Raw genomic sequence first — 18,854 nt, 5'->3', positions numbered from 1 at the left:
AACTGGCTAGTCATATGCAGAAAACTGAAACTGGACCCCTTCCTTACACCTTATACAAAAATTAACTCAAGATGGATTAAAGACTTAAATGTAAGACCTAAAACCATAAAAACCCTAGAAGAAAACCTAGGCAATACCATTCAGGACACAGGCATGGGCAAAGACTTCATGACTAAAACACCAAAAGCAACTGCAACAAAAGCCAAAATTGACAAATGAGATCTAAGAAAACTAAAGAGCCTCTGCACAGCAAAAGAAACTATCCTCAGAGTGAAAAGGCAACCTACAGAATGGGAGAAAATTTCTGCAATCTATCCATCTGACAAAGGGCTAATATCCAGAATCCACAAGGAACTTAAACAAATGTACAAGAAAAAAAAACAACCCCATCAAAAAGTGGGCGAAGGGTATGAACAGACACTTCTCGAAAGAAGACATTTATATGGCCAATAAACATATGAAAAAAAGCTCACCATCATTGGTCATTAGAGAAATGCAAATCAAAACCACAATGAGATACCATCTCACACCAGTTAGAATGGCGATCATTAAAAAGTAAGGAAACAATAGATGCTGGAGAGGATATGGAGAAATAGGAATGCTTTTACACTGTTGGTGGGACTGTAAATTAGTTCAACCATTGTGGAAGACAGTGTGGTGATTCCTCAAGGATCTAGAACCAGAAATACTATTTGACCCAGCAATCCCATTACTGGGTATATACCCAAAGGATTATAAATCAATGTACTATAAAGACACATGCACACATGTTTATTGCAGCACTATTCACAATAGCAAAGACTTGGAACCAACCCAAATGCCCATCAATGATAGACTGGATAAAGAAAATGTGGCACATATACACCATGGAATACCATGCAGCCATAAAAAAGGATGAGTTCATGTCCTTTGCAGGGACATGAATGAAGCTCAGAAACCATCATTCTGAGCAAACTATCACAAGGACAGAAAACCAAACACCGCATGTTCTCACTCATGGGTGGGAACTGAACAGTGAGAACACATGGACACACGGAGGGAACATCACCCACTGGGGCCTGGTGCGGGGGAGGGGGGCTAGGGGAGGGATAGCATTAGGAGAAATACCTAATATAGATGATGGGTTGATGGGTGCAGCAAACCACCATGGCACGTGTATAGCTATGTAACAAACCTGCACGTTCTGCACATGTATCTCAGAACTTAAAGTGTAATAATTAAAAAAACATATGAAAGTAAAAAAAATCTATGATTAATATTCTCATAGAGATAAGAGAAACATATTCATAAGCAAGAAGAGGATATAAAAGTTACATTCAGAAAACATAAAGCGCTCTTGCAAATTAAAAATGTGATAGCAGAAATGAAAAAATTCAACAGGCAAGCTAGAAGAAGGTGTATAATCATCTCAGTAAGTAGAGCAAAAACACAAGAGAGAAAAAACGAGAGAAAGGGTTAGATAATTAAAGGATTAACCCAGGCGGTTCAATAGCTAAATAGTTCAGAAAGAGGATAAAGTAAAGAAAAGTAAAGTAATAAAATAAATAAATAAATAAATGAGATAAAATAAATAATAATAAGATGAAAATTTCCTAAAACTAAAGCTAGTAGGCATTCAGATTTTAAGGGTGTGCTAAGTGCCAAGCGCAATAAAACAAAAGAAAAGAACAACAAAAAAACTCCTTCTCATACCAAAGCACAGCAGCATGAACATGGAGATAAAAAGGACCTAAAAGGTCCCAGAAAGTGAACAAGTTACCAACAGGGAGTGGGAGTCCACATGAGAGATGTCAGCAGCAGCACTGGAAGCCACAGGGCATGGAGCAATGATTTCAAAATACAGAGGAATGACTTCCAACCTGGAATTCCATATTCAACTAAACCACAGTGTAAAGAGAACTAAGATTATTTTCAGATTTGTGGGGCTTAAAATAAGTATCTCTCATGTATTTTTCTGAAGATGCCACTAGAAAATGGGCTCTACCAAAACATGAAAGTAAACCAAAAAAGAGAAATACACCGAATTCAGCAAACAAAATAAGATAGGAGAAAGACAAAGGAATTCCCAGAAGGAGGGTGAAAGGCAATGACAGAACCATGAATTTATTCTTCTTGTTTATCCTAGAGTGAATAATCTTATGTTTTGCTGCAGAAATGTTAATATAATGGAATAATGGTGTAACCCCAGGCCCCACTGGGTTATTTACACAATACGTAGTGTATGCATCATGTTACCTTTCCAAAAATCTGAAAAACTCTGAATTCCAAAATGAATCTGGCCTAAAGGATTGGGATCTGAAATTGTGGACCTACATACACATTTTTATAAACACATTTATGTATATTCATGTAAAACTGGTATCATATGGCATATACAATCTCACACTTTTATATTATTAAAGAGTATTTATAAATATGTATTTTCATGGCTGAATGGCATTTGTCCTACAACATGTTTCATAATTTTCTATTGTTAGACCTTGGGTTATATTCAATTTTTGCCTACTATGAAATAATGATGAGGTGGATAGCCTAATGTAGTTCTTAAAGACCAATTTCTAGAAATAGAACTATGGTGTCAAAGGGGTGTGCATTTGCAAAATGTTTAAATATATAGGCAAGTACCTTCATCTAGTTTATGAAGTATAACACATAAAATGAATTACTAAATGCACAAAGAAATATATAATATAAATCACAGTAGGCAGTAAGAAGGAAAAGAACCTTGGGCTATGAGAATAAATGGGGAAACTGATACTGAATCATATAGGTATGGGCTCACTGAACGGCAGTGTAGGCTCAAATTAGGCAAACTCCAACCACACGTACTGATTTTAGTTTTACTCCTGCTCCAACTCTTTCTCCTAATCATGTAGTAATGAATATAATTAGGTTTCTAAAAGGGCATAAGTTCCAAAGACACCACACCATTTTCAGAGACTGGATTTCTTCTTCCTCTCAGGCACGCTCAGGCTAGGGGATGCTATGTGGGGCTACAGGTAACACCAGTAGGCCTAGGACCCAAAAATGTCAGGGGGCTGGGTGAGGGGGAGAAAAAAAAGAAAAATTACAAGAAGGGAAGAGAAAGAGGTGCATATGAGCCTTGGCTTCTCATGTATGAGACGAGGATAATGGCTCGGATTTCCTCTGGGTGGCTTCCACTGAGTGAGACCTGGCTCAGGATGACACTCCTGAAACAGCATCACTATCTTCAATGCCATACATTTTCTATTCTTTTTTATCGTAATACTTTATTAAAAACTACTTTTTTTTTATGTAATAGGCATGATGCTCAGAACAAAACCAATCACCTCTTCTAAGCCCAAAAGATCTAGTAAATATAAGTACTTCTGGTCGAAGGAAAAAAACATTTTGTCAACGTGTCTAATACCAACCCTATGTTCGCATTCATATGTATCTTAAATATCATGTTTTTCTTGGAAATTAATATTTATTTGACATGATTAGGAAACTCTGAGTGCCTGCAGTGTAATAGCACTGTCCTGATGGCTGGGATGTACCAATGACTACATGAGGTCTGGCTCCAACCTCATTTCATGGCTCTAATAATATAATGGGGTGGCCAGGCACAGTGGCTCAGGCACTTTGGGAGGCCAAGGTTGGTGGATCACAAGGTCAGGAGTTTGAGACCAGCCTGGCCAATATGGTGAAACCCTGTCTCTACCAAAAATACAAAAATTAGCTGGATGTGGTGGTACGCACCTGTAGTCCCAGCTTCTCGGGAAGCTGAGACAGGAGAATGGCGTGAACCCAGGAGGCGGAGGTTGCAGTGAGCTGAGATCGCGCTACTGCACTCTACCCTGGGCGACACAGCGAGAATCTGTCAAAAAAGAAAGGACGGGATGGGAAGAGGGAAGAGGGAAGGGAAGGGAAGGTGCGGTGGCTCATGCCTGTAATCTCAGCACTCTGGGAGGCCGAGGCGGGCAGATCACGAGGTCAGGAGATCGAGACCATCCTGGCTAACACAGTGAAACCCCATCTCTACTAAAAATACAAAAAAATTAGCCGGGCATGGTGGCAGGCACCTGTAGTCCCAGCTACTTGGGAGGCTGAGGCAGGAGAATGGCATGAACCCGGGAGGCAGAGCTTGCAGTGAGCTGAGATTGCGCCACTGCACTCCACACTGGGTGACAGAGCGAGACTCCGTCTCAAAAAAAAAAAAAAAAAAAAAAAAGAGAAGAGAAGAATATAATGGGGTGAGACAACCAAATAAACCAACAAATAAGGAGACTGCTGATATGGCCAGGATTAAAGGGAATAAACAATAAACAGGGTGATGTGACTGAATAATGGGGCTGAGGGGTGAATGTGGCCCTGGCTGAGACAGCACATGCTCAGAGAAAGTCTCTGTAAGGAGGTAACAGAAAGTGCAAAAAAGCAAGAACAAGAAATGCCAGGAGCTGAGGGAAGAACACTGCATACAGCAACAGCAGTGGGGCAAAGGCTACGGAAGAAAAGGACTTAGCAGATTTCAGGCACAGAAGCAGAGAATGTGGCTCCAGTGCCTTAGGTGCGGGAAAAGTAGTTAGGAAGTCGTTCATGGTAAGAATGTGGATATGATTCTCAATGCAAGGGGAAACCACAGAGGACTTTAAGGAGGAGACTGATGTGATCACCTTTAAATTTTTAAAAATAATGCAACAGTAAAATCAGGGTCACCAGCGAGACTACTTTAGTAATCTAAGCAAGAGTGAATGATGGCTTGGCATAGTTGGTGGCCGCACAGATGGAGAAAGATCTATTTTGAAGGTTTGACTAATGGGTCTTACAGATGATATTAGAAGAAAGAAGGACTGTAGGAGGCTTTCTAGGTTCTGGGCTTGAGTAATAGGGTGAATGGTAGGGTCACTTACTGAGATGGGGAAGATCAGTGCTACGGGTATAAACATGGGTACTAAATGCAGGTAAGCTTGTAGGAAAACACAGTAGGGAAATAACTAGGGTATGGTGTTGTGTCCATTTGGCATCTTTGATCACAAAATTTAAACTAAAACTAGTTATTTCCACTGCCTGATTTCTTCCCCAGCAATGTCTGACTGTTCTGATGCAGACTCAGAGGACAAACTGAGTTCATCTAGGGGTGGGGGGTTTGCCAAGGAATAAAATGAAAGTAGACAATGGTGCATGAACTCTAAAACTATCTTCACAAGTAAAGGAAAAAAGACAGAATTAATAGATGACATAAAGTAAAATTTGACATTAATTATAAATCATCTACAAACTACCTATAATACAGTGAAAAGGATCATCCATCTATTAACTGACTGACAGATGGTTGGTTGAACCATCATCCTATTATAGAAACTATAAAATGAACGACAAACTGATTATTAATTTTGAAAGCAATTTTTCCTTAACTTGAAACTATTATAAAATTAAACTATCCGATAGTAACACTTCTAAGCAGAATGAGAAAAAAGTCTTTACCTCATGATTATAATCCAAGATTCCTTTTAAAATTTTCTTTAAATTGCTTATCTGTTTAAAGAGAGAGAAAACAACTGGGTAAAAGGCAAGACAGATCAAAACATAATTTAACATAAAAAATTTCTGAGCCAACCAATCACTGCAGTTAATCATAAAGTAAATATTAACAAATAAAATTCAAAAGCATATTTGAATTATCATCATCATCAAAAAGTACTACTATATAATCCAAGAGATTTATAAAACAAATTATGTCTCCAATTATGTAGAATTTTCAATGTTATGACCACACTGAAAACAACTGGAGGGTAACTGAATGAGACTTAACAATAAGATTAAATTATTTAGGTTTTCTGTGGGTAAAGTAAAAATATGCCATCCTTAATGAAGACTTGAGTTCAGAGCTATTCTCCCTAGAAAAGTCAAACTGCATCTATATAGAAATTAAGTTCTAAAGAGAGTATTAGGCAAAAATTATAGTAAAATAATCTTTAAAATAACCCATGAAGTATAATGTCTCTAAATTCTTCCCCTACCAGAAAAAAAAACTATTGTTTCTTTAGTCAAACATCAAAGTAAGTATTTATGAGCCATAATGTTAGGTGAAGAATGGGCAGAATCACCTGCCCTATTTATTGTAAACTATAATTTTTTTCTTTCTGTTTGACCCAACTCATACAGTTTTGTTAGGTTAAATGGGTATGTGATATAGTTCTATTGATTATTTTATTGATCTAGCTGTCCCTGGGTGGTGTCTGTAGTTGAGACATCCTAGAAAAGAAGCTAGTAGGGACTGAGGCTTTCAAATAAGAGCCTGAATCACAGCAATGTGATCCAGTACTTAATTAAAGGCATATTTATTTGTAAGGAAGAAAATAAACTGAAAACTTGCTTATTTATCTTTACAGGTCTCATAAAATTAACATGCTTAAACATCTACAAAAATTTGCAGATATGGAAAATGCATATAATATGCTTTCTTTCATTCTAGGATGTTCATTTTCCCGTATTTTTAATATTTGAAATTAGATGCCTTGAAAATCAACTACCATTCATTTAAAATGGTAGTTTTTTAAATCACATCACAAAAAGCTACATCTTATCTTTATTTATGTATTTATTTTTTTGAGACAGAGTCTCCCTCTGTTGCCCAGGCAGGCTGGAGTGCAATGGCGCAATCTTGGCTCACTGCAACCTCTGCCTCCCAGGTTCAAGCAATTCTCGTGCCTCAGCTTTCTGAGTAGCTGGGATTACAGGCGCCTGCCACCACACCTGGCTAATTTTTGTATTTTTAGTAGAGACGGGGTTTCACCATGTTGGCCAGGCTGGTCTCGAACTTCTGACCTCAGGTGATTCGCCCACCTTGGCCTCCCAAAATGTTGAGATTACAGGCATGAGCCACTGTGCCCGGTCGTATATCTTGTCTTTAATCAATGGCATCATAAAACTGAAGTAAAGCATAAAATATAGAGAATAAGAAGTTCAGTCCTGAATATTAAGACTATGATAAACTTTTCTACCCATCTCCATATACTACCACTGCCTTACTCATGACACTGGAGACAGTATATGTGTATCTATCTGTGTGCCTGCTGGGAGGAGATATACAACTCTCTCTGATCAAGCCAGTAAGCAGACACAAAATGATCAGTAGCATTATTTGAAACATCATAAATTGTTTTAAACATGCTGTAACATTAAAAAATAATCTTTTTTTTTTTTGAGACTGAGTCTTGCTCTGTCGCCCAGGCTGGAGTACAGTGGCGCAATCTCGGCTCACTGCAACCTCCGCCTCCTGGGTTCAAGCAATTCTCATGCCTCAGCCTCCCAGGTAGCTGGAATTACAGGCGCCCGGCACCACACCTGACTAATTTTGTTTTTCTTTTTTTTTTTCTGAGACAGAGTTTTGCTCTGTCGCCAGGCTGGAGTGCAGTGGCGCCATCTTGGCTCACTGCAACCTCCACCTCCCAGGTTCAAGTGATTCTCTTGCCTCAGCCTCCCGAGTAGCTGGGACTATAGGCGTGCAACACCATGTCCAGCTAATTTTTGTATTTTTAGTACAATGGGGTTTCACCATGTTGGCCAGGATGGTCTCGATCTCTTGACCTATGATCCACCCACCTCACCCTCCCAAAGTGCTGGGATTACAGACATGACCCATCATGCCGGGCCTAATTTTTCTATTTTTACTAGAAACGGGGATTCACCATGTTGGCCAGGCTGGTCTCGAACTCCTGACCGCAAGTGATCCACCCGCCTTGACCTCCCAAAGTGCTGGGATTACAGGCGTAAGCCACCACGCCTGGCCTGCCAGGTTGAGGCAGGAGGATGGCTTGAGCCCAGGAGTTCGAGACCGGACTGAGCATATAGCATGACCTCATCCCTACAAAAATTTAAAACATTAGCCTGGTGTGTTGGCCTGCACCTGTAGTCCCAGCTATTTGAAAGGCTGAGGTAGGAGGATTGGTTGAGCTCAGGAGGTGGAGGTTGCAGTGAGCTGAGACTGTGCCACTATACTCTATCCTGGGTGAGAGTGAGACCCTGTCTCAAAAAAAAGTAAATAAAAATAAATAAATTGCCTGTCCTTGAAAGACTGTTTAGAAATTAAAACAGGGCCGGCCGGGCACAGTGGCTCACGCCTGTAAACCCAGCACTTTGGGAGGCCAAGGCGGGCAGATCACCTGAGGTTAGGAGTTCAAGACCAGCCTAGCCAACATGACGAAACCATCTCTACTGAAAAATACAAAAATTAGCCAGGCATCATGGCGTGCGCCTGTAATCCCAGCTACTCGGGAGACCGAGGCAGGAGAATCTTTTGAACTCGGGAGGCGGAGGTTGCAGCGAGCCGAGATTGCACCACTGCACTACAGCCTGGGTGACAAGGTGAGACTGTCTCCAAAAAAAAAAAAACCAAAAAAAAAAAAAAACCAGTGCCATTAAACGGTTTTCATTCACTAGCTTAGTAAAAAGAAGGAATTAGATTTTGGCAAACCCAATACTTAAGCAACAAATAAATACTTTTCTTATCAAACATGTTTCTTGGGGAAAATACAAAGACAACTCAAACTGAACATGTCTTAAGTTCAGGGGCCTCGCATGGTTAAATCATTTGTATGTCTGAGTCTTTGCCAGTCTGTATCAAAAAGAAATGGTCGCAGGTTTCTCCACACTGCCAGAAATGACAATCACTGGGTCAAAACAATCAATTTAATGTTAACAAAATCACAGAGATGGAGAACAAATTAGGGGTTGCACGGGATTAGGGGTGGTGTGGATGTGGTTATAGAAGCAGCACAGGAAGCTGTGTGGTGACGGAATAGTTCTGGGTCTTTCACTGTGGTGGTAGTTACACAAAGCTACACATGAGACAGAGCTACACAGAACTGCACACACTAACATAGAGTGCAAGTAACCTTGGTGAAATTTGAATAAAATATGGACTGTACCAATGCAAGTTCCCTAGTTTTGATATTGTATTATAGTTACGCAAGATGTTACCACTGGAGAAACTGGGTAAAAGGTACACATAACCTCTTAGTACACATTTTTTGCAACTCCTTGTGAATCTATAATTATTTCAAAATATAGGCCGGGCTTGATGGCTGATGCTTGTAATTCCAGCACTTTGAGAGGCCAAGGTGGGCAGATCACCTGAGATCAGGAGTTTGAGACCAGCCTGGTCAACAGGGTGAAACCCCGTCTCTACAAAAATGCAAAAATTAGCTGGGTGTGGTGGCGGATGCCTGTAATCCTAAGCTCCTTGGAAGGCTAAGGCAGGAGAATCACTTGAACCAGGGAGGCAAAGGTTGCAGTGAGCGAAGATTGCACCACTGCTTTCCAGCCTGGGGGACAGAGAAGACTCCATCTCAAAAAACAAAAAACAAAACATAAAGTTAAAAAAATAATTTGGTGGATTACGCAAACATTTTTAAAAATAAAATGAAAACATCACTGCCTAATGTAAGGATAAAAACCTGTTCAGCTATATACACACACACATTTAGGTAGGAAATTGGTTGCAATGTAAACTTTTTTTCTTATTGTAAGTTTTGGTTAAAGAAACTTGTAAAATACTTAAAGGTTACTAGGAAGGAAATGAAAATGTTTCATTCTCTGAGTGTTTACGATACAGTTAATAATGATCAGTGTTATCTCATTATAACTACCACGTGCACTATTCTAAGTACTTGGCATAATATTAACTCATTTCTGTGAGGTAGAAGCTATATTAATCCTCATTTTACAAATGGGGAAACCAAGGCAAAGGAAGGTCACAACACTTCCCCATAGACAGTAAATGGCAGAGCTATGATGTGGACACAGGCACACTGGCTCCATGCCCTTGGTTGCTATGCGTTACTGACTCATATTATGTTATGCCTAGGTGTACAACTCCAGGTGAGTTCAATCTTCAATTCTACATTATTTCATTACAGGCTACCTAAGCTTCTAAAGCTCACTGGACACATCAGACAAAAAAAAATCAACAGATATTATACACATACAAATATTTAAAGATTTAACAGGTGGAAAAATAAAATACCTTTAGCCTCCAATTATCTCCTACTTCAGTTTTGATTCTGTTTAGCCAATTTTCATCAAAATATGCAGGATCTCTGCAAAATAAGAAAAAGCTTACATATTAAAATCATGTAGCTATCAAGCTAAACAAAGAAAATTGAATCTCATCCCATATAATCACTTAACTGCAACATAAAAATGTATTTGACACATATCAGCCACGAAATAACTTTCGTGTTACTAACAGTCAAGTTGGCCAGGTATGGTGGCTCATCCTGTAATCCCAGCACTTTGGGAGGCTGAGGTGGGCAGATCACTTGAGGTCAGGAGTTCAAGACCACACCTGGCCAACATGGTGAAACCTTGTCTCTACTAGAATTACAAAAATTAGCCGGGTGTGGTGGGACATGCCTGTAATCCCAGCTACTGAGGAGGCTGAGGTGGGAGAATCCCTTGAACCCGGGAGGCAGAGGTTGCAGCAAGCCAAGATTACACCACTGCACTCCAGCCTGGGCAACAGAGTGAGACCCTGTCTCAAAACAAACAAACAAAAAACCGAACAAAAACAACAACAACAAAAAAACAGTCAAGAATCTACCATAATTGCAGATTTTCTAGAAGTCAACTTGACTGTTAACACATAATCAATGACATAGTTTTTGGGTTTTTTTTTTTGAGACAGAGTCTCGCTCCGTCACTCAGGCAGGCTGGAGTGCAATGGTGTGATCTCGGCTCACTGCAACCTCTACCTCCCAGGTTTAAGCGATTCTCCCGCCTCAGCCTCCCAAGTAGCTAGGATTATAGGCCCACACCACCACACCTGGATAATTTTTCTATTTTTAGTAGAGACGTGGTTTCACCATGTTGGCCAGGCCGGTCTTCAACTCCTGACCTCAGGTGATTCGTCCACCTCGGCCTCCCAAAGTGCTGGGATTACAGGCGTGAGCCATCACCCCTGGCCAGTGACACAGTCTTTAAACTGATAAATATATAAAGAAAGTTAAAATAACTTTTTCAGTTAATATTTCAATGAACTCCACCACCTAATACTTCAAAGGTCACCAATAACATCACTAAATTCTGATTTCTTCAAATAATATATACCGAGAATCTATTTTCTCAGATGTAGTACTAGGTTTTGGACACATCTGAACACCATTGCTGTTTACAAAAGACTTAAAATTTAAGATAAAACACTGGTGTGGACAAACATATTGAAACGAGGATAGAATCTGAATATCCTTTATATTTTCCTAGAAAAATTTTCTATGGGAAAATTTCCCATATTTCTAATAAACACTAGGAAGGAAGGAAGGGAGGAAGGGAGGGAGGGAGGGAGGGAGGACAAAACTTTTCAAACCCAGCATGAGCCCCATTTTACAGGTTTTGAAATTGATCCTCTAAAAATTAAATTACATATCTAAGGCCACACACAGAACACCTAAGTTTGTCCTGCTTGAGCAATTGCTAAGTCCAAAAATCTTTCCATAACACCACAACTGCCTCTATTCACCTCAAAAAAAAACAGAATGACAATGAGACTGAAAGGTTAAGAAAAAAATGTATGTTTCAACTTTTACTGTAACTCATACTGATAAATACACAATCAGTATTAAATTTTACTCAAATTAGCTTAAAATGAAGCAACATGATATTCAGAATTTTTACCTATTCTGAAAAAAGAAAAATTATTTAGGTAGTAAGTATATTTTTTTAAAGTTACAACTAAGTTACCTCTATACAAATCTGTTATGATTATTTTTGAAGCCTGTATCATATCATTGGATAACATATTAACTTCATTATCTATTTACTTTTAGAAACAGCTTTATTGAGAAATAACTCACGACACAATTTACCCATTTACAGTACACAATGCATTTTAGTATAGCCAGAGTGGTACAACTATCACCACAATCTAGTCTCAGAGCACTTCCATCTTTCCAAAAAGAAACCCTATCTCCATTAGCCATCACTCCTGTTTCCTCTTCTCTCCAGCCCCTGAAAACCAGTAATCTATTTTCTGTCTCTATGAATTTGTCTATCCTGGACATTTCACAGAAATAAAATCATATACTATGTGGTCTTTTGTGTCTGGCTTCTTTCAATTAGCATGTTTTTTAAGGTTTATCCATACTGCAGCATGTATCAGTGCTTCATTCCTTTTTGTGGCTAAATAATATTCCATTTATAGATATATCACATTTTGTTTATTCATTTAGTAGCTGATGTAACTTGGGCTATTTCCACTTTGGGGCCATTATGAATAATGATGCCTTGAACACTGCTGTACTAGTTTCTGTGGGGACATTTGTTTCATTTGGGTATATGCCTAGGGGTGAAACTGATGGGTCATGTGAGGCAAGGCCAAACTCTTCCAAAGCAGCTATATTTTGCATCCTCACCAGCAATGTATGTTCTCTACAGCCTTGCCAATACTCGTTATTATCTGTCTTTTTAGTTATAGCCCTCCTAGTGGTTGTGAAGTGGTGTCTCACCATGGTTTTGATTTGCATTTCCCTAATGGCTAATGATGCTGAGCATCTTCACATGTGCTTATTGGCCATTGTATATCCTCTCTGGGAAAAAAGCCTATTCAAATTATTTGCACTTTGAAAAACTGTGTTGTCTTTTTTATTGAATTGTAAGAGTTTTGGTATTTTGTTTTAATATTCAGGATACCAGCCTCTTAACAGACATATGATGTGTGAATATTTTCTCCCATTTTGTAGGCTGGTTTTCCACTTTCTTTCCTTCTTTTTTTTTTTTTTTGAGACAGAGTCTCACTCTGTTGCCCAGGCTGGGGTGCAGTGACACAATCTCAGCTCACTGCAACCAATTCTCCTGCCTCAGCCTCCCAAGTAGCTGGGCTTACAGGCGTGCACCACCATGCCCAGCTAATTTTTGTATTTTTTAGTAGAGACAGGGTTTCACCATGTTGGCCAGGCTGGTCTTGAACTCCTGACCTCAAGTGATCCGCCCACCTCAGCCTCCCAAAATGCTGGGATTAGAGGCTTGAGCCACTATGCCCGGCCATGTTTTTCCACTTTCTTGATGGCATATTTTGCAAACAAAGTTTTTAATTTTTTTTTTAAGAGACAGGTTCCCACTCTGTTGCCCAGGCTGGAGTGAAATGGCATGATCACAGTTCACTATAACCTTGTACTTGTATTCCTGGGCTCAAGCCATCTTCCCACCTCAGCCTCCAGAGTAGCTAGTGCTAAGACACATCACAGTGCCTGGATAAAATTTTTTTCTTTCTTTTTTTTTTTGGTAGAGATGGAGTCTCACCATGTTGCTCAGGCTGGTCTCAAACTCCTGGCCTCAAGTGATTCTCCTGCCTTGGCCTCCCAAAGTGCTGAGATCACAGGCATGAGCCACCATACCAGGTCAAAGTTTTAAATTTTGATGAGGTTCAATTTATCTATCTTGAACTTTCTGTGTCATATCTAAGAAGCTCCTGCCTAATCGAGAGTCATGAAGATTTATTGGTATATTTTCTTTTAAAAGTTTTACATAACTTAGCTCTTATATTTAGGTCTATAATCAATTTTTGCATGGTGTAAGAAAGGGAGATAACTTCATTGTTTAGCACGTGGATAATCATACTTACCTATTTTTGTTTTAAGCTACTTTAGTTGAGGTTCTTTTGTGTTATTAAGAGAAACCAATTTGAGCAAACTTCTGCAAAAAAGGCAACTTACTGTAAGATCACTGATGTTATGGTACTTAAGATAGCTGGGCCTCACCAAGTACTGGACAATACTCTCTGACTTTCATCTTTCTTTCTTTCTATCCATCTACACCATTTTCTCTCCATACACCAGCCTTTTCCTATTCCTCCATAAACAACACTAAAAATGGCTGCAGGTATGTTCCAAGCCTGTATCACTTCAGTCCAAGCAATTTGTTTAAAGACCAGCTGTCATTTGGTCCCAATTCTAAATCCCCAGGAAAACCTCAATGATCCAAAGAGTCTCTTTTTCATTCCTGGTCCAATTATAGGTAGCCAAAAGGATAGGGGCTGCAAGGAGGACACACAGAACTTTAGGGACCATGCTGGTCAGGAGAGAACTGAGTTCTGAGGTTCTCTGACTTCTCAAAGAAACAGACAACCCCCAAAAGTGTTCTCTTTGCTTAAAACTTAGAAAAATAGATAATCAAAAGAAAAACAACTGAAGTGATTTCTACTAAAACATTAAAGAGTTATAAAAATCAATTCAGAAGTCAAAAAATATTCAATATTATTTTTGATCCTTAACCTAAAAAGCTATCACTTAAAAAGCACAATCATTAGCAATCAAGTATTGCTTTCCAACTAAAAAAGACTCACACATGAATCTGGTGCCCTGCAGCTGATGACTATCCAAAGCCAAAGAAAGGCATGAACCCACCAGAACCTACCACCCAAGCGGCAAGTCAGTTTCATTCAGCTGAAAGATTTAGTGTTTCTCTCACCAGAAAATCCCTTACTTTAAAAAAAAAAAAAACTTTAAAATGTCCAAGAAATTATATACTCCAAGATCTCCAAGGTTATAAAATACTTCATGTGCAATTTAGAGTAATACACCTTATGAATAAAAGAACTCAGAGAAGTTCAAATACAATGTTTCACATCAGGCATCATGATACAGCCTGCTTATTCCTTAAAAGATTACCAAATCAAAACCTAAGGATCATGTCTGAGTTCAGAAGGGAAGACAACAAAATCAGCTGCTACTATCATATACACCATGTATGACACCAGTAACATCTGTATTATATCAGCAACATACCAGGCATTGAACCAGGCACTGCGCATTCACAAAACCACTGCAGGGAAGGTAGGTATTATTATCCTTATGTTATAGTTAAGGAACATCAGACTCAGAAATTAAGTAATTTTCCCAAGCTCAATCAGACAGTTAACTGTCAGAGTTGACAGTACAATCATTTTTGTTAAAACAGATCAGGAGAGTTCAACACATAACCAGTTCTAGCAAAACACTAAGGCCCTGTGGCTAATTATCCCCTTCATACTCTGTAAACTAGGTCACAAGTAGAAAAAGACCAGCGTCATTCATCACCTTCTTGTTCATGAAGGGCAGGCATTTCCTCTTATTCACTGCTATCCTTCCCAATCCCCCGTGGCTGGTACATAGCAGCTTCTCAGTAAATTTGCTTAAAGGGACAGCACTTAGTAAGTTTCCAATCTACTACTTAGGCAAAATATACTAAGAATAGTAGTCTTTAGACTTCTCATATTCAGTATTACTTTCCCTGGTAAACTTTGAAGCCATATACGCAGGCATTTAACCGTAGCTTCCATTGCCATAAGTACTTTACAATTTCAGTAATGTTTTCTAAAGACCCCTTAATTAATGGTCGCAGGCTCGAATAAAACAATATAAAGGTAACTTTCTCAAAACTAGGAAGAGATGACAGTTCTGCATAGATATGTAAATAACAAGTGGTAATCTTACTGGAGAAGCTCTTCATGAGTAAGATGCTATTATTAGCTGCTCGCTATGTCCTAACTCCTGCTAAGAGAAAATATACAAAATCATTTCCTTAATTTGCCAGTAACACATTTACTTGTTTATAACTTTTGTACCACTCACAGCTTAAGCTAAAGGAAAAGCCCACTAATTTTAATTCTTAGAATAATTCCAGAAGTATATTGTCTTATGTCAAATGCCTTCACAGAAAAAAAAAAAAACCCTCTCCCTCTCCCCTTTTTGTATGGTCTCCCTCTGATGCCGAGCCAAGGCTGGACTGTACTGCTGCCATCTCGACTCACTGCAACCTCCCTGCCTGATTCTCCTGCCTCAGCCTGCCGAGTGCCTGGGATTGCAGGCGCGCACCGCCACGCCTGACTGGTTTTCATATTTTTTGGTGGAGACAGGGTTTCACCGTGTTGGCTGGGCTGGTCTCCAGCTCCTGACCGCGAGTGATCTGCCAGCCTCAGCCTCCCGAGGTGCCGGGATTGCAGACGGAGTCTCGCTCACTCAGTGCTCAATGTTGCCCAGGCTGGAGTGCAGTGGCGTAATCTCGGCTGGCTACAACCTCCACCTCCCAGCCGCCTGCCTTGGCCACCCAAAATGCCGAGATTGCAGCCTCTGCCCGGCCGCCACCCCGTCTAGGAAGTGAGGAGCGTCTCTGCCTGGCCGCCCATCGTCTGGGATGTGAGGAGCCCCTCTGCCCGGCCGCCCAGTCTGGGAAGTGAGGAGCGTCTCTGCCCAGCCGCCCATCGTCTGGGATGTGGGGAGCGCCTCTGCCCTGCCACCCCGTCTGAGATGTGAAGAGCGCCTCTGCCCGGCCACGACCCCGTCTGGGATCTGAGGAGTGTCTCTGCCCCGCCGCCACCCCGTCTGGGAGGTGAGGAGCGTCTCTGACTGGCCGCCCCGTCTGAGAAGTGAGGAGCCCCTCTGCCCGGAAGCCGCCCCGTCTGTGAAGTGAGGAGCCCCTCTGCCCAGCAGCCGCCCGTCTGTGAAGTGAGGAGCCCCTCTGCCCGGCAGCCGCCCCGTCTGGGAAGTGAGGAGCGTCTCCACCCGGCAGCCGCCCTGTCTGGGTGATGGGGGGCAGCCCCCGCCCGGCCAGCCGCCCCGTCCGGGAGGTGGGGGGCAGCCCCCGCCCGGCCAGCCACCCCATCCAGGAGGTGGGGGGCGCCTCTGCCCGGCCGCCCCGTCTGGGAAGTGAGGAGCCCCTCTGCCCGGCCGCCACCCCGCCTGGGAGGTGTACCCAACAGCTCATTGAGAACGGGCCATGATGACGATGGCGGTTTTGTCGAATAGAAAAGGGGGAAATGTGGGGAAAAGAGAGATCAGATTGTTACTGTGTCTGTGTAGAAGTAGACATAGGAGACTCCATTTTGTTCTGTACTAAGAAAAATTCTTCTGCCTTGGGATGCTGTTAATCTATAACCTTACCCCCAACCCCTTGCTCTCTGAAACATGTGCTGTGTTCACTAAGGGTTAAATGGATCAAGGGCGGTGCAAGATGTGCTTTGTTAAACAGATGCTTGAAGGCAGCATACTCGTTAAGAGTCATCACCACTCCCTAATCTCAAGTACCCAGGGACACAAACACTGCGGAAGGCGGCAGGGCCCTCTGCCTAGGAAAACCAGAGACCTTTGTTCACATGTTTATCTGTTGACCTTCCCTCCACTTTTGTCCTATGACCCTGCCAAATCCCCCTCTCCGAGAAACACCCAAGAATGATCAATAAATACTAAAAAAATTTAAAAAAAAATGTTAAAAAAAACACCTAAATTTTATTGCTACTGCTAGAATTATTGAAGCAATGTAATTTTTTCTTTTTTCTTTTTTTTGAGAGAGAGAATGTCTCGCTTTGTTGCCCAGGCTGGAGTGCAATGGTGCGATCTCAGCTCACTGCAACCTCCGCCTCCTGGGTTCAAGTGATCCTCCCACCTCAGCCTCCCTAGTAGCTGGGACTACAATCATCCACCACCAGGCCAGGCTAATTTTTGCATTTTTAGTAGAGACAGGGTTTCACCATGTTGGCCAGGCTGGTCTCGAACTCCTAACCTCAAGTAATTTGCCTGCCTCGGCCCAATGTAATTTTCTTAATGAAAGCAAATTAAGATGGGATCCAAAACAAACGTATTTGGTTTCATTTCTTAACATGGCATCTTTACTAGCAAATTTTAGTGTTTTTTACAGATACATTGATTCTTAGGCATGACTATTTCCTAATAATCATTTAATGACCTAAAATAATCTTGGTCCTCTGCCATTAAATGTGTGTTAGAGTTGACTATGATAAAATTTCACATCCATAATGAATTTACACTAAGCCCCTAAGTCAAAATAAACAATACAGGTACATAATGGATAGATTCCAACAGACAACTTAGTGTACTATAAAAAATATCCATTTATGAGACATTCCAGCAGGGTCCACAGCTTGACCTTCATCCTATTTTCTTTTTCCCCTTCTCGAACTTTGAAAACAAAAACCAATGGCACTTGGAGGCACAACTTGGCACTTCTGACCTTACTCTTTCAATCAGCATGTGGTTGTGTTATAATAAAAAATATATTTGGTCTCTGTCCCTTATTTCCTGGCACTGATCTCCTAAACTCTTGGAATTTCCTGAGTGGAGTGTCTTTTGTAATTCATAAGGAGCTCCTTTAAACCATACCAGAGTTTATACTAACGAGGGGATTCATTGTGGGCCCCTTTATTGCTTTAGGATGGGGGCTGGTCACAGAGGAACCAACCGATTTATTAGAGGTTGGAACATTCAGCCCCAAAGGGAAAGGGAGAGGTACCGGAGACTGAGCTCAATCACATGACCAATGACTTCAATCATGCCTATGTAATGAGATCCCAAATAAAAACCATTAACAACAGGGTTTAGCGAGCTCCCAGGCTGATGATCACCTCAACGCGCTCAGTGAGATGCATGCCCAGAAAGGGAAGGGAAGCTCTGCACTGCCCCTAGTTTTGTTTTCTGCCATATGCTTCTTTTCCACTGGCTGTTACCAAGCTGTATCATTTATAATAAAACTGATTGTAATTATAGTGCTTTCTGGAGTGCTGTGAGTCATTCTAACAAATTATCCAACTTAAGGGAGCACGGGGTCATGGGAACCCTTGAATCTGTGGTTGGCTGGGTAGAAGTACAGCTGCACTGAGGACTATTTCCAACTAGCTGTCTTTTGGCACTGGGACCTTAACTTTAATTTGTGGGGTCTGTACTGTCAACCCAAAAGGAAGAGGATGAAGCACAAAATACGATTTAAAGAGTTTACCTGAGCCAAAGCAAAGACAGCTGCCGAAAAGACTTAGACCCAAGTAACCTTGGATATGAGCTCCATTTGGCCTTTGTTATGTGCAGGTTTGTATTTAAAGGTTTCAGAAAAGGGGGGTGGGGAGACAG

General features: G+C 40.9%; 1 protein-coding gene across 1 annotated transcript in view, besides 1 other annotated feature; it reads right to left on the bottom strand.

The window, feature by feature from the left end:
* HOOK3 (hook microtubule tethering protein 3) overlaps positions 1-18,854 on the bottom strand; it is a 133,558-nt gene that overhangs the window by 94,915 nt on the left and 19,789 nt on the right. The window contains exons 3-4 of the mRNA NM_032410.4: positions 9,992-10,064; positions 5,449-5,499 (exon numbers count right to left, since the gene is read on the bottom strand). Of these exons, the coding sequence (NP_115786.1) occupies positions 5,449-5,499; positions 9,992-10,064 (124 nt within the window). The remainder of the gene's footprint in view (positions 1-5,448; positions 5,500-9,991; positions 10,065-18,854) is intronic.
* Positions 15,830-16,549: an enhancer, noted in NCBI's record as "H3K27ac hESC enhancer chr8:42774215-42774934 (GRCh37/hg19 assembly coordinates)". NCBI's record gives its function as "activates a minimal SCP1, AML or CMV promoter by ChIP-STARR-seq in naive H9 embryonic stem cells {active_cell/tissue: H9 hESC(naive)}" and the evidence as "EXISTENCE:reporter gene assay evidence [ECO:0000049][PMID:30033119]".

Source organism: Homo sapiens, chromosome 8, assembly GCF_000001405.40.
Source record: "Homo sapiens chromosome 8, GRCh38.p14 Primary Assembly".
In the NCBI taxonomy this organism is placed as follows: domain Eukaryota; kingdom Metazoa; phylum Chordata; class Mammalia; order Primates; family Hominidae; genus Homo; species Homo sapiens.
The sequence above is the reverse complement of the archived record's forward strand: the minus strand, read 5'-3'. Positions and strand labels throughout refer to the sequence as shown.